At 34.3% G+C, this 16,620-nt stretch overlaps 2 annotated features.

Annotated features, from left to right (window-relative positions):
- Window positions 15,183-16,382: an enhancer, noted in NCBI's record as "BRD4-independent group 4 enhancer chr1:102676249-102677448 (GRCh37/hg19 assembly coordinates)". NCBI's record gives its function as "activates an origin of replication core promoter dependent on BRD2, P300/CBP, MED14 and CDK7 cofactors, and independent of BRD4, by STARR-seq in HCT116 cells {active_cell/tissue: HCT116}" and the evidence as "EXISTENCE:reporter gene assay evidence [ECO:0000049][PMID:35650434]".
- Window positions 15,253-15,754: an enhancer, noted in NCBI's record as "H3K27ac hESC enhancer chr1:102676319-102676820 (GRCh37/hg19 assembly coordinates)". NCBI's record gives its function as "activates a minimal SCP1, AML or CMV promoter by ChIP-STARR-seq in primed H9 embryonic stem cells {active_cell/tissue: H9 hESC(primed)}" and the evidence as "EXISTENCE:reporter gene assay evidence [ECO:0000049][PMID:30033119]".

The following is a 16,620-nucleotide window of genomic DNA, read 5'->3' on the forward strand; positions in this document are numbered from 1 at the left end:
TTGAATTTCTTATTACTAGTTATTCAAATATTTAAACCAAATAATTCTTCTAGTTCTATTTCTTTTCTCATTCAGGATATTTCATTTATAGCATCCTACAACTTCAGGAAAGAAGAAAATCCACTTTAGGCAATCAGATAAAGAAGAGGATAATATATTACTAAATTATGTATTTTAATATTGTTTGCTTGAGGCTTTAGAGATAAAAAGATTCTTTGCATTGTAGATTTGATTTCCTTTATCTCATGGAAATTTCTTGAGTTTTTAAGTACTATATAAAAATTAATTGTATGAAAAGCTATTGCAAAATGATCTGAATCTAGCATCACAAAGGAATATCTGCATTTGTCTCTTTAACTTTGGATTTTTTTCTAAACAAAATTTATTTTTGAAATATCTAATTATGAGTTATCAAGGGAAAATATCTTTATTCATTGAATAATTAGAGAAATGTTAATATACTCAGTGTAGATATTTTTGTTAGGCTGCGATTGATTTTGAACATAGTAAAGAAGAAACTATTACTCTGGGCTGATAATTTACAACCTAAATTCTGAAAATTGAAGTTTTTAATTTTTTTTAACTTTAGAAGTGCAATTCTGAAATGGTTGTATATATCAACTTTCCCGTAATGGAAAAGAATAGCTCTTCAAAAAATCATGTCTTAAACTGACATTATAATGGTTTTTTAGACAATTTACTTTCTTTTTGTCATATCCACATTATCAAAATGTAAACCTCAAACACTCACTTAACTTCAACAAATGACAACGTGCTGACCCTCAAAAAAATTGTAGTAACAGCTTTACAAAATCAGAACTTTACTATACCAGTCAAAAATCAATGTACTCTGAAGACAGCAACTATGGGAGATCTCATGAACCATATATCACAAATTTCCACAGTGGGAACTGTAGTGACATTGGATGGTATTGTGTTCAAAACCCTTAGTGAGAGTTGGTCTCATTTTTATGGATGGCTGCAAAGTCTATTACACTTAACGGTGATTTCCTCTAAACAATGATCTACAAATGAATGCCAGATATGATAATAAATTTCTGTATTAAAAGACTACTGACAATTGGTTCAGAAAGCAAGTATTTTTCTTCCTTCCTAGGAATTGCTAACATGGTAATATTAATACTTGAAAGTGTCAACTGCTTAATGAAATTTTGCCCACATAGATTACCAAGCTTTCTTAAATGTTAGAGGCTATTTTTAGGAGTAAATTTACTACACTTAGGATTTTTAATATTGATATATACATTTATTTATGGTTTAAGAATATATGTTACCATATAGAAATGGCATTGTGTACGACTGTGATGACAATCAATATTTGGATATACATATTATAAACATTAACTACTTTTTTTGAACTAAAATATAATTAGATAAACAAAGGTTATATGATAGAATTGTTTGGTTTTAAATATTAAATGAAGTGTGAATAAAAATTGTCGATCATCTTTTGAATTATTTGTACCATAGCAATCCTCATAGGCTTTCCAAAGACCTTTGTGTTAAAATACAAACCTAATGTGGTCATCAAAAGCCATAAATAAAAGAGCTGTCAAGTAAAGTTGATGAAAAAGAGAAATGATACAAAAGGCAGCGTCAGGTACAATTATGAATATGTCAATATAAAAAAATCATTTCCCTTGATGTGATATTATTAGAGTGTGATACTAATTACTAAAACTAGGATTATAAAGATTTATTAACCTCTAGAATGGTTTGCCAAGAAGTTTCTTATAAATTAAACTATGGTGTACTCCTTGTTGAAAAAAGTTTTTGGTGATAGACTTTGGAGGATTTTCTAATTTTTTCATATTGGAAGATGAAGTTGATTTAGAAAATCATCACCGAATGTATTTCTGTTTTTCTCCATATAGCCTTGTAATATATCTGAAAACATATTATGTAATATATGTGATGTGTAATATATGTGGAAACACAGCTAACTTACTTAGAGCTGCGTATTGTGTTGTTTTTGGTTTATATGTCACCAAACAATTGACATGTAGTCATCATATGGGTAGGCACCATTCTATTCCTAGATCCTAACACAGGGCTTGTTGCTATAATTGCTTGTAATTTATTGTAATTGCTCAATAAATTCCTATTATTTGCTTTAATGGAGACTTTGGATAAAACCAAGAAGAAAAAACCATGTATTTATACCTTCTATGAGGTAAGTGTGGTTAATTTTAACAATAAATTTATGGTATGATGATACTTTACAATTTCATAATTTTGTTTTAACCTAACCCTCATGAAATTATTCCCATATTTATTTCAGGATAGGTTTTCTTTTTCACAGTAATTGGTATAATTTTTCTAGCGGTCCTCAAGCACACATACACATCTCAAGAATAATGGTAAAAATTTTAAGTTTTATGATACTACTGTTATTTTATTACTATGTGCTATAATTCATATTTTAAGGGTATTATTCTTGTTAACATGTTAATGTTAATTCAGTCATCTCATTTAATCATAAATGTTCTTAATAAAAAGTTTTATTATCTATATTATTTGTATCAACTCTAATGAACCAATACAATCTTTATTTATTTATGGGGATATGATTTCTTACTTGATTGATAATCTTGTCAAAATATTTATAAATATTTATCCTGGTCTTCACTGTATGATACTTGAGCATCTACTGTATATATATCAATCACTATTTTAGGTATGGGAAAAATAAAATGACTAAAAAAGAAAAGTCCTCTTGTTGCATGAAAGAAGAGGCAATAAATAAAATTTAAAATACATAAGTTAGTAATAGGAGTGAATCTGCTCTGATAAAACAAAAACAGAAAAAAAGTAGAAAAATAAAAGTTGATGAGGTTAAAATTAAGATTTCAGTCAAGTTTATCTGAAATTTGTGGTTGGCCTGAAAAGAATGAAACAATTCCAAATTTTCATTGGTATTGTTCTGTATTTTTAAAAAATATTTTCTTGTAAAGTAGAAAATTTTTATGTTCAGATAACATGTTGTCCTAAAATTTTTATAGGCTTCTATTTCTAATACAGTGACTAGGCAAGTCTTTCCAAAACTTCCGTTGAAATAGATAAGCAAAGCTGAATAACATATTTTAAAATAACCTCAAAAGTATCAAAGAGCTAAAATAATAGTGGAGAACTTACAGAACAGCCTGAACCCAAAGATGTGACTAAAGAAAATATTTCTATGGTGTTGAGCAAAGAAGGAAAAACAAAAGAATTTTGAAGAAAAGAAAATTGTCCCCCAGAAATTGTGGCCGATACCATGATTAACTTAAGCAATGAAATTAGTACCAAACCAGTTGTATCCTCAATACCTGGCAGAAGTAAACAAGAATATTCTCAGGAGGAAATAACTTTCTAGGCCACAGAAACCTCCATATGTAACATTGAGTCAAAGATAAAAAGGCATAAAATTAAACAAATCACCAAGAGTTATAACAAGCAGATAAAAGTAGAGAGTAGAAAAAGAATTGCTTATATTTTATATATTCTAATTATTCATGCTTACCTTGCTAAAAGAGAAAAAGAGAAAAGTTGAATAATATTTGTAAGAACCAGAAAATTATGAAAAGGGTCATAAAAGATTTAAAGTAAAAATTTAGAAACTATAAATTTAGTTTAAATTTAACAACAAAAAAACTTCATTGAAAATATCTGGCAGTAAATTTGGTACAGCAGAAAAAAAGAATTAATTGGCTTATGCTACCAAGTAGCATATAATAGCTCATTTTTGACCAATGTACCCATGACATGGATTGATGCAATTAGTACCTTACCCTTTTATGCCTAACAAAATAAAGAGTGAACCCTTTTTTTTTGGAAGATATATTATCTGAACTTTCTATGGTTGTTAAATAAACATTGTCTAAAAGCAATCAAGAATTACTAGAATTTCATTTTGTAGAATGCATTCTTATTTCAGTCTAGTACAAATTATTACTTTACCTTGCCACTGCTAATATCTTGATTCTACCAGAATCTTGAAATACAATAAAGGATTAGAATGACAAATCAAATTCACACAAATAAAAGATATTACTACAAATCAAGATTTACTAATAATTTAAAGAATAAAAGTAGTTTGGGTAACAATAGAAGCAGGAAGAGCCCCAGGACTACCAACACAGTTCTCCAGCTACTTTCTTGCCACATCAAGGTATGTCTGGCCCAGATTAAATATTAAGATATCCAAGTATGCTTGTAGTCACATAACTTATACCAAAAGGAGTTTATTCTTTCTTAGGAAACATCTCCATTTTACACAGATACTGTATTAGTCCATTCTTGCATTGCTATAAAGAAATGTCTGAGACTGGGTAATTTGTAAAGAAAAGGGGTGTGATTCCTCATGGTTCTGCAGGCTGTACAGAAAGCTGGCGAAAGAGGCATCAGGTAACTTGCAGTCACGTGGAAGGTGAAGGGGAAGCAGGCACGTTTTACATTGCTGGAGCAGGAGGAAGTGTGGCAGGGTGCTGCAACAAGATATGATGATAACTTACTCACTCACTATCACTAGAAGAGCACCAAAGTGGTGGTTCTAAACCATTCTTGAAAGATCTACCCGTCATGATCCAATCAGCTCCCACTAGGCCCCACCTCCAACACTGGGGATTACAATTTGACATAAGATTTTGGTGGGGACACAGATCCAAACCATATCATTGCACCCCAGCCCCTCCCAAACCTCATGTCCTTCTCACATTGCAAAATCTATTCATGCCTTCCCAACAGTCCCCTGAAGTCTTACTCATTCCAGCATTAACTCAAAAGTCCAAAGTCCAAAGTCTCATCTGAGACAAGACCTTCTTTATATAAGCCTGTAAAATTAAAAATAAGTTAGTTACTTCCAAAACCAATGGAGGTATAGGCAAATGGGGTAAAAACTCCCCTTCCAAGAGGAAGAAATCTGCCAAAAGGAAAAGGCTACAGGCCCATGCAAGTCCCAAAACCAGCAGGGCAGTCGTTAAATCTTAAAGCTCCAAAGTAATCTCATTTGACTCCATGTCTCCATCCAGGACACACTGATGCAAGGGGTGGGCTCCAAAGGCCTTGGGCAGCTCAGCCCCAAGTCTTTGCAGAATACAGTGCCGCAGCTGCTTTCATGGGCTGGGATTGAGTACCTATGGCTCTTTCAGGTGTACGGTGAAAGCTGCTGGTGGATCTACCATTCTGGGGTCTGGAGGACCGTGGCCCCCTTCTCACAGCTCCACTAGGAAGTTCCTCCATGGGAACTCTGTGTGGGAGCTCCAACTCCACATATCCCCTCTGCAGTGCCCTAGTAGAGGTTCTCCATGAGGACTCTACCCCTGCAGCTGGCTTCTGCCCAGACATCCAGGCTTTTCCATACATTCTCTGAAATCTAAGTAGAGACTTCGAAGCCTCAACTCTTGCACTGCAGGAAAACTTCTGGTCAGAATTTACCAATAATCTATGATCTAGCAATTCTAGTACTAAGTATATATTCAACAGAAATGTGTGTGTGTGTGTGTGAGAGAGAGACAGTGTGTGTGTGTGAGAGAGAGACAGTGTGTGTGTGTGTGTGTGTGTGTGTTTCTCTAACTGGATCTTGAGATTTCCCTCACAAGAGTGGTTGTAATCTCTAACTCTGGCCTGATGGGGTTCCAGGGATTTGGTCATGGTTGCTTACAATGTTCTTTCATGGGATGTTCTTCTTTATCCTGGCAGATAATCTAATGCCTAAGTGTTCATCTTATGTCCAGGGTTACCTCTCACAGGAAACTTGTTTATACTGGTGGATGACCTTTTGGCTCTTATTTGATCTGTGTCTAGTTTATTCTTACCAAGATAGCCACTCTCTAAGACAACGTCGACTAGGAAAGAAGTTAGGTTTATTGTGTGGGTCAGATAAGTTACATAGGAGGCAACTCAATAAAACACATAAAATGACAGAAGCAGTTTATGACATACAGGTCTGAGAGAGAAAACAGGAGCACACTTTGCGGGGTTAATGGGAAGTGGGAGGCCATCTTGGACACATATGATCAATCAGTGAGTAGGGACCAAGAGAGAGAGGGGGTCCTGTCAGCCAAAGCCCTTACTGGGGTCCAGGGCATTATGCAGACAGGTTTCTTGCAGGGAGTTTTAATTGGTAGGTTTAGAGCAAAGAGACATGTGCTCCATGGAGGCAGGCTGTGACTGAGAGGTGGTCACTATGGTATATTTGCAGTCCATGCAGGGAGTGAATATCAATGGGACAAGTCCAGTGAGTTGTATCTAGCTGTTCCAGATAAGGAAGTGGTCACCAGGAAGCAGATGCACAGGAAAAATGTGGATTGACCACATTGAGAAACTGAGAGGAGGCAGAAAAATAGAAACTGTGTCAAAGGTGACCATACCCTACTTCTGGTAAGAGACAGTCCAAGTCATATTTAAAATGGATGCTGAGGCAACATAAAATTTTAAGAATTCGCTACTGTGTGTATGTGTGTGCTTCACAAGATGTGTACTAGAAAGTTAACAGCAGCATTATTAATAATAGAAAAACACTTGAACCTACTAAAATGTTCAGCAATAGTAGAGCGCATAAGTAATATTCTCATTATGGAATACTCAACAAGTGAGAATAAATGATCAACAACTTCACCTGGCAATATAGATGAATCTCATATGAGTTATGAATGAAATAAGTCAGATACAATAGAAAACAACTGTATAATTATATTTATACAAATAAAAAAATCTAAAATATGCTAGTAGAAGCCTTGCTAGTGGTTATACTTGAGGAGGACATTGTGACTAGATGAGGGCATGAACAGATTTCTGCTAATATTTCTCATGATCTGAATGATTGTGATGTTTGTGTTTAGTTTACAAACATTTATCTGTATACTTATGCATATTTTATCATTATTATATTTGTAAATAAAAAATAAATGGGGAAATGTAATTATTAGGCTGGGATATAGAACACAAAATATTATCTAAAATGAATCACTGAAAAAAAGATACAAATTTCATATGTCAGATCAAAGAAACTGTGTAGAAAGTGAGACATTTCAATATTTGTTTAATTAGTCTTCCCTGCAGAGAGCAAAAGAATGAGAAAGAAGCAATATATAAAGAGATACTGGCTGAGAATTTTCAGATACCAATTTACACATTCAAGAAGTGCAGAAAATCTCATGCATGACCTATGAAAGATAATCACATATATAGTAGTGAAACTTCAATAATTCAAAACAAAAAGATGCATGAAACTAACGGGGTATATGAATTTCCAACTAGTATGTGAATAAAGTGGAAAAATAATTTATCAATTCAAATTAAGTCAAGAAAGAAGAAAATATATGAAACAGGCAGCATAAATAGAAGGCATAAAAGATGATAGAATCCTACTTCCAGATGTAACAGTGATTATTTTGAATAAATATGGATTTAAAATTCCTGTCAAAGTCAAAGATTATTGAACGGGTGAACAAGGAACTACATTTTGTTTAATATAAACAAATGTAAACTCTAAGTAAAAAAGTTCTCGTGTAAAAGTGTCACAAAAATCTAACATAGAAGTGATAATCAAAGAAAAGTTGACAAAAGTAAACTTTAGAGCAAATGAATCACCAGAGATAAAGAGTAGCTTCATGATGCTAAAATGTTTAATTACCAGGAATATATAACTTTTTAAAATTTGTATACGTATAACAACAAAACAAAAATTGGCAGAACGACAGAAAAAATAGGAAAACACAAATTAGTATAGTTAACATCCCTCACTCAACAACTGATAGAATAAGTGAACATATAATGTACATCATTATGTAATTTATTAGGATATATAAGATTTAAACATAATTTATAAACTGAAACTAAGAAACTGCAGGGTATACATTACTGCCAAGAGCCCATAAAAGTTATAAAAATCATAATAAATTTTTTATAAACCAAATCTCAACAAATTTCAAATAAATTATTTTGGGCATATTATTTGCCCAAAATGCAACTAAGCTAGAAATCAATATAAAATAGATGAATAGAAAATCTTATATTTTTGTAAGTTAAATAATGTATTTCTAAATTAATGAGTAAATTAGCTAAAAAAGGAAATCCTAACATTCTTTAGAAAATACACTAAGTCTAAAATGTGGTGGGATATAATCAATGCATTTTTTAGAGCAAAATTTTCTATGAATAAAAACTGTATGTATGAAACATAAACTAGGTTAATATATTCCTAAAATAAATAAGGTAGAAAAGCAGACTAAAGCAAAACAAAACCAAAACACCTGAATTATCCTATCAGCATAATGAACATAGGAAAAAAATGGTAAAAATCTTCTCTTAAAGAAAACTGCAGCCCTATAATGACTTCACTGGAAGGTTCCAGTGAACATTTAAGAAAAAATGTAGAGTTAAATTAAAAACACATCTGAAATCACTTTATAAATTTTATAACTTTTCTTCCAAAACTCAACAAGAAAATTAAAATAAATTTAAAAATGACTGCCCAATAATTATAAACAATAATATTCTACAATTATATATTACATAGAGACTATATATTATCTTATATACAATTATACTCTATATTATACATAGAATATATATTGCTATATATTCTATATAATACATATAATTGGTGAATGTACATATATATTTATATAAGAAGGTGGAGATTTTATACATATATGTGTGCATGTGTGTATATATATATACCTATACATATATGTATAGTATATGTATAGCATATATAGTATATATATAGTATATATAGTAGTATATATAGAATGTGTGTGTATATATATATATATTTGCCCAAAATGCAACTAAGCTATAAATTAATATAAAATAGATGAATACAATTAATCTATCTATCTATATATATATATATATATACACACACACACATGCACACACTGCCTGTTTTCAGGTTGCATACACATAACAGATGGTTTATTATGCTATACTATTCTACGTGGTTATCTACATGATAGTAAAAGATGTTTGATACAATTTAACATAAATTTTTGATAAAAAGTATTCAATAAAGCATAATAAAAGAATTTCCTCAGTTTGATTAAAAGTATTTACACAATACCTTCAAAAAACACCATCCTTTCTGGGAAAGTTATTGAAATATTATTCCTAGATTCCAGGAAACCTATAAGAATGCTAATTGACATCACACCTACCAATAATTGTTGTAGAGGATTTTGCCTTGTAGAGTAAGACAATAAAAAGAAGTGAAAACACATAAGGAATGGAAAAGGGGAAGACAAACTGTTATTGCTTGCAGGCAATTCAATAATAGAGGCAGAGCCACATAATATTCTCCAAATTGTAAGATTAAAATGCATTTTTTTTTGAGACTGGATCTGACGCTCTTGCCTAGGCTAGAGTGCAGTGGCACGATCACAGCTCACTGCAACCTGGACCTCCTGGGCTCAAGCAATCCTTCTCCCTCAGCCTCCAAAGTAGCTGGTACCACAGGCAAGTGCCACCACGCCCAGCTAATTTTTTCATTTTGTAGAAACAGTGTCTTGCTATGTTTCCTAGGCTGGTAGAATGACATTCTTACAAGTAGTATATTGGGTCTTTCCCTAGTTGTTCTTGTAGTTAATAGTCTTAGCTTGCAGATGTTAAGAATTGAGACAGACCCAGCTTTACTCTCTCATTTCTTTCAAAGGATCCACTACCCTTTCACAGCTTGGGCTCTATTCTTGCTTGGAAGCCTGCAGTGAGAAGGAGAGCAGTAGCTCTTTTCTGATTTTTCCTCTTCCAGTCCTCCCCTGCATTTTTTTCTGTTTTGGTAAATCTTTACTAGTAAATATTTCTTTTTAATTTTTTAAATTTTTTTATGTCAATAGGTTTTGGGGAACAGGTGGTGTTTGTTTACATGTTTGGTTATATGAAGAAGTTCTTTAGTGGTAATTTATGAGATTTTGTTGCATCCATCACTGAGAAGTATACACTGTACCGAATGTGTAGTCTTTCATCCCTTGCCACCCACCAGCCTTTACCAGAAGTCCCCAAAGTTCAATGTATTATTCTTATGCCTTCGAGTCCTCATAACTTAGCTCCCACATATGAGTGAAAACATACAGTATTTGGTTTTCTATTCTTGAGTTACTTCACTTAGAATAAGTTTCCAATTCCATCCAGGTTGCTGTGAATGCCATTATTTCATTCCTTTTTATGGCTGAGTAGTATTCCACGGTAAATACATACCACATTTTCTTTATCCACTCATTGATTGATGGGCATTTGGGCTGCTTCCATATTTTGCATTTGCAAATCGTGCTGCCATAGACATGCAAGGCAAGTATCTCTTTTGAATAATGACTTTTATTTCTTCTGGGATACCTAGTAGTGGGGTTGCTGGATCAAACGGTAAATCTATTTTTAGTTATTTAAGAAATATCCACACGGTTTTCCACAGCAGTAGTACTAGTTTACATTCCCACCAGCAGTGTCAAAGTGTTCCCTTTTCACCACATCTATGCCAAAATATATTATCTTTTGAGTTTTTGATAATGGTCAGTCTTGCAGGAGTAAGGTAGTATCACATTGTGGTTTTTATTTGCATTTCTCTGATGATTAGTGAGGTTGAGAATTTTTCCATATGCTTGTTGGCCATTTGTATATCTTCTTTTGAGAATTGTCTGTTTGTGTCCTTAGCCCAGTTTTGGATGAGATTGTTTTATTTTTTCTTACTGATTTGAGTTCTTTGTAGTTTCTGGATATTAGTTCTTTGTTGGATGTATAGATTGTGAAGATTCTCTCCCACTCTGTGGGTTGTCTGTTAACTCTGCTGATTATTTCTTTGGCTGTGCAGAAGCTTCTTAGTTTAATCTATTTATCTTGGTTTTTGTTGCATTTGCTTTTGGGTGTGTGGTCATGAACTTTTTGCCTTAGCCAAAGTCTAGAGGTTTTCCTGATGTTATTTTTCAGAATCTTTATGGTTTTGAGTCTTAGATTTAAGTTTTTGATCCATCTTGAGTTGATTTTTGTGTAAGGTGAGAGATAAGGATCCAGTTTCATTCTTCTACAGGTGGCTTGCTAATTACCCCAGCACCATGGGTTGTATAGGCTGTCCCTTCCCCACTTTATGTTTTTGTTTGCCTTGTCGAAGATCAGTTGGCTGTACATATTTGGCTCTATTTCTGGGTTCTCTATTCTGTTCCATTGGTCTACATGCCTATTTTTATGCCAGTACCATGCTATTTTGGCGTGACTATGGCCTTAGAGTATAATTTGAAATCAGATCATGTGATGCCTCCAGATTTGTTCTTTTCTCTTAGTCTTGCTTTGGCTATGCAGGTTCTCTTTTGGTTCCATATGAATTTTAGGATTTTTTTTTTTCTAGTTCTGTGCAGAATGATGATGATATTTCGATGAGAATTGCATTGAATTTGAAGATTGGTTTTGGCAGTATGGTCATTTTCAGAATATTGAATCTACCCATCTATGAGCATGGGATATGATTCCATTGTTTTTGTACTCTGATTTCTTTTATCAGTGTTTTGTAGTTTTCCTTGTAGAGATCTTTCGCATCCTTGGTTAGGTATATTCCTAAGTATTTTATTTATTTATTTATTTTTGCAGCTATTGTGAAAGGGGCTGGGTTCTTGATTTGATTCTCAGTTTGGTCACTGTTGGTATATATCAGAGCTAATGATTTGTGTACATTAATGTTGTATCCTGAAACTTTGCTAAATTCATTTACCAGTTATAGGAGCTTTTTGAAGGAGTCTCTAGGGTTTTCTAGGTATACAATCACATCAGCATCAAACAGTGATAGTTTGACTTCCTCTTTACCAATTTGGATGTCCTTTATTTCCTTCTCTTGTCTGATTGCTCTGGCTAGGTCTTCAGGTATTTTGTTAAATAGAAGTGGTAAGAGTGGGCATCCTTATTTTGTTCCAGTTCTCAGGGGGAATGCTTTCAACTTTTGCCCATTCAGTATAATGTTGGCAGTGGATTTGTTATAGATGGATTTTATTACCTTAAGTTATGTCCCTTCTATGCCGATTTTGCTGAGGGTTTTAATCATAAAGGGGTGCTGGATTTTGTCAAATGCTTTCTCTGCATCTATTGAGATGATCATATAATTATTATTCTTAACTCTGTTTATGTGGTGTTTCACCTTTATTGGCTTATGTATGTTAAACCATCCCTGAATCCCTGGTGTGAAACCCACTTGATTATGGTGGATTATCCTTTTGATATGCTGTTGAATTTTGTTCACTAGTATGATGTTGAGGATTTTTGCATCTCTATTCATCAGGGATATTGGTCTGTAGTTTTTGTTGTTGTTGTTGCTGTTGTTATGTCTTTCTCTGATTTTGGTATTAGGGTGATACTGGCTTCATAAAATGATTTAGGGAGGATTCCCTTTTTCTTTATTTTTTGGAATGGTGTCAATAGGATAGGTACCAATTATTCTTTGAATCTCTGATATAATTCAGTTCTGAATCTGTGGTCCTGGACTCTTTTTTTTTGTTGGCATGTTTTTTATTACCATTTCAATCTCACTGCTTCTTATTAGTCTGTTCAGAGATTCTATAGCTTCCTGGTTAAATCTATGAGGGTTGTATATTTCCAGGAATTTATCCATCTCCTCTTGGTTTTCTAGTTTATGCGCATAAAGATATTCATAGTAGCATTGAATACTCTTTGGTATTTCTGTGGTATCAGTTGTAATATCTCCTGTTTCATTTGTAATTGAACTTATTTGGATCTTCTCTCTTCTTGGCTAATTTCATTAATGGTCTACCAATTTTATTTATCTTTTCAAAAAATAACAGTTTTTTGTTCCATTTATCTTTTGTATTTTTTTAAATTTGTTTCAATTTCATGTCATTCTGCTCTGATCTTTGTTACTTCTTTTCTTCTTCTGGGTTTGGGTTTGGATTGTTCTTGTTTGTTCAGTTCCATGAGCTGTGACCTTAGATTGTCAATTTGTGCTTTTTCAGACTTTTTGATGTAGGCATTTAGTGCTATGCACTTTCATTTCAGCACGATTTTTGCTGTATCCCAGAGGTATTGATAGGTTGTGTCACTATTATTGTTCAGTTCAAAGAATTTTTAAATTTCCATCTTGATTTCGTTGTTGACTCAATGATCATTCATGAGCAGTTTTAATTTTCATGTATTTTCTTGGTTTTGAGGACTCCTTTTGGAGTTAATTTCCAATTTTATTCCACTGTGGTCTGAGGAAGTACTTGATATTTTGATTTTCTTAAATTTACTGAGACTTTTTTTGTGACCTAACATATGGTCTATCCTGGAGAATGTTTCATGTGCTGATGAATAGAATGTATATTCTACAAGTTGTTGGGTAGAATGTTCTATAAATATCTGAGTCCATTTGTTAATGAACTTAAGAAATGTTAAGTCCATTTGTTGTGGGGTATTGTTTAAGTCCATTGTTTCTTTGTTGACTTTCTGTCTTGGTGACCTGTCTAGTGCTGTCAGTGGAGTATTAAAGTCCCCCCACAAATGGACTTAACATTTGTTAAGTGATTTATTGTTAACAAATGTTAAGTCCATTAGCAAATGGATTTGTGGCCATTTATCTCATTTCTTAGGTCTAGTAGTAATTAGTTTATAAATTTGGGAGCTCCAGTGTTAGGTGTATATATATTTAGAATTGTAATGTTTTTCTTTTGAATGTGTCCTTTTATTATTATATAATGATTTTCTGTCTTTTTAAACTGTTGTGGCTTTAAAGTTTGTTTTAGCTGATGTAAGAATAGCTACTCACTTTTTGTGTCCATTTACATGAAAATAACTTTTTCCACCTCTTTACCTTAAGTTTAGGTAACTTACCTTACCTTAACCTTATGTGTTAGGTGAGTCTCCTGAAGACAGCAGAAACTTGGTTGGTGAGTTCTTATCCATTCTGCCATTCTGTATCTTTTAAGTGGAACAGTTAGGCCATTTACATTTAATGTTGATATTGAGATGTGAGCTACTATTATATTTATTTTGCTACTTGTTGCCTGAATACCTTGTTTTTCTTTTCATTGTGTTATTTTTGTATAGATCCTGTGAGATTTATGCTTTAAGGAGACTATATTTTAGTTTATTTTGAGGATTTGTTTCAAGATTTAGAGTGCCTTCTAGCAGTTCCTGTAATGCTTGTTTGGTAGTGGCAAATTCTCAGTATTTTTTGGTCTGGAAAAAACTATATCGTTTTTTCATTGATGAAACTCAGTTTCACTAGATGAAAATTCTTGGCTGATAATTGTATTGTTTAAGGTGGCTAAAATAGGATCCCAATCCCTTTTAGCTTGTAGAGTTTCTGCTGAAAAATCTGCTGTTAATCTGACAGGGGTATTTTTATAGGTTACCTGATGCTTTGCCTCACAGCTCTTAAGATTCTTTCTTTCATCTTGACTTTTGATAACCTGATGACTATGTGCATAGGTGAAGATCTTTTTTTGATAAATTTTCCAGGTGTTCTTTTAGCTTCTTTTATTTGGGTGTCTAGTTCTCCAGCAAGATCAGGGAAGTTTTGCTTGATTATTCCCTCAAATATGTTTTATAAACTTTTAGATTTCTGTTCTTCCTTGGGACACCTATTATTCTTGGGTTTGGATTTTTAACATAGTCCCAAGCTTAGTGCAGGCTTTGTTAATTTTTAAAAATTCTTTTTTTCTGTGTCTTTGATGGATTGAGTTAATTCAAAAGCCTTGTCTTTGAACTCAGAATTTCTTTCTTCTGCTTGTTCGATTCTATTACTGAGACTTCTCAGTGCATTTCACATTTCTCAAGTGTGTCCTTGATTTCCAGAAGTTGTGATTATTTTTTATTTATGCTATCTATTTCACTGAAGAATTTTCCTTTCATATCCTGTATCGTGATTTTGATTTCTTTAAGTTGGACTTCACCTTTCCCTGGTGATTCCTTGATTAGTTCAATAATTGATCTTCTGAATTCTTTTTTTGGCAATTCAGAGATTTTCTCTTGGTTTGGATACATTGCTGGTAAGCTGGTATAATCTTTTGGGAGTGTTAAGGAATGTTGTTTTGTCATATTACCAGAACTGTTTTTCTGATTCCTTCTCATTTGGGTAGGCTATGTCAGAGGGAAGATCTGGGCTGCTGTTCAGATTCTTCTGTCCCATGGGGTGCTCCCATGATGTGTTATTCCCCCTCTTCCCATAGGAATAGGGCTTCTTGAAAGCTGAACTGTACTAAATGTTTTTGCTCTTCTGGGTCTAGCTGCCCAGTGGAGCTACTAGGTTCTGGGTTGGTAATAGAGAATGTCTACAAAGAGTCCTGCAATGTGATCTGTCTTCAGGTCTTGCAGCCGTGGATACCAGCACCTGCTCCTGTGGAGATGGCAAGGGAGTGAAGTGGATTCTGTGAGGGTCCTTGGTTGTGTTTTTGTTTAGTGTGCTGGTTTTGTGTTGGTTGGCCTCCAGCGAGAAGGTGGCACTTTCAAGAGTGCATCAGCTGCAGTCCTATAGGGAGGATGCAAACTTGCCCTAGGGACACCTGGTTAAGTATTCAGGATTCTCAGGTGGTGGGCAGGGCCATAGAGCTCCCAAGAGATTACGACCTTTGTCTTCAGCTACCAGGGTGGGTAGATAAAGACCACCAGGTGGGGGCAGGGATAGGCATGTCTGAGCTCAGCCTCTCCTTGGGCAGGGCTTATTGCAGCTGCTCTGGGGTTGGGGGTGTGGTTCCCAGTCCAATGGAGTTATATTCCCAGGGGTACTATGGCTGCCTCTGCTGAGTCATACAGGTCGCCAGGGAAGTGGGGGAAAGCTGGCAGTCACAGGCCTCACCCTGTTCCCATGTAGCCCACAGCCCTAAAGGCCAGTCTCACTCCCCTAGTGCCCCACCCAACAGCACTGAATCTATTGCCAGGCAGCTGGTGACCAGGGCTGAGAACTTGCCCCAGACCATGAGCCTCCTTGCTGAGAAAGCAAGCCAACTCACAGTTTTTCAGCATCTCAGGGAGCCTGCAGCAGGGATCCAGTTCCTTTAAAGGGTCATTGGATTCTCTTGGTTTTCCTGGTATGTTCCTGTTCTTTGAGCAAAAGTTCATGATGTGAGTCTCCAGATGCTGCTCTGTCCCCTGCTATCTTTATTCTATGATTGGATTCTCTAAGGTGTGGCCAGGGGAGAGAAAGATTAGATAATTTTCTTAGGGCAAAAAGATCTTCCCAATGACGTCCTGTCCTTTTATAAAGATCACTAAGCACTCCAGCCAACTTCTCTCTTTTTAGATTTTTAATGAGTATGAGTCAGGAACAGTCGCTAGGTCCATAATTCTCTAATACTCCAGGGATCATAAATGTTAAGGTCTCCAAATGATTTTCAGACATTATTTTCCCTTGTTCTGTGTCTGAAAGGGTGAAGTACTCCCCTTTTTTCTCCTACACAGAGGACAGGACAGAGGAAACATTAGTCTTCCTGATCTCTCCAAAGGAATTCACAGTTTTGGCCTCCTAATGGATTTCTAGCTTAAATGTGCATGATGCATTAATGGTGACTGGATTTGTCTTGGGCCCCCGTCTTTGCAAGTCCCAATAGATTGACTATTATCTCTTTTTACAATACAAAGATTACTTGATTTCTGCTATTCTCAGTTTGGGGACCTAAGGTGAATAGACAAGATAGAAACGGTCACATTATA

The sequence above is a fragment of the Homo sapiens genome, chromosome 1 (assembly GCF_000001405.40).
Source record: "Homo sapiens chromosome 1, GRCh38.p14 Primary Assembly".
In the NCBI taxonomy this organism is placed as follows: Eukaryota; Metazoa; Chordata; class Mammalia; order Primates; family Hominidae; genus Homo; species Homo sapiens.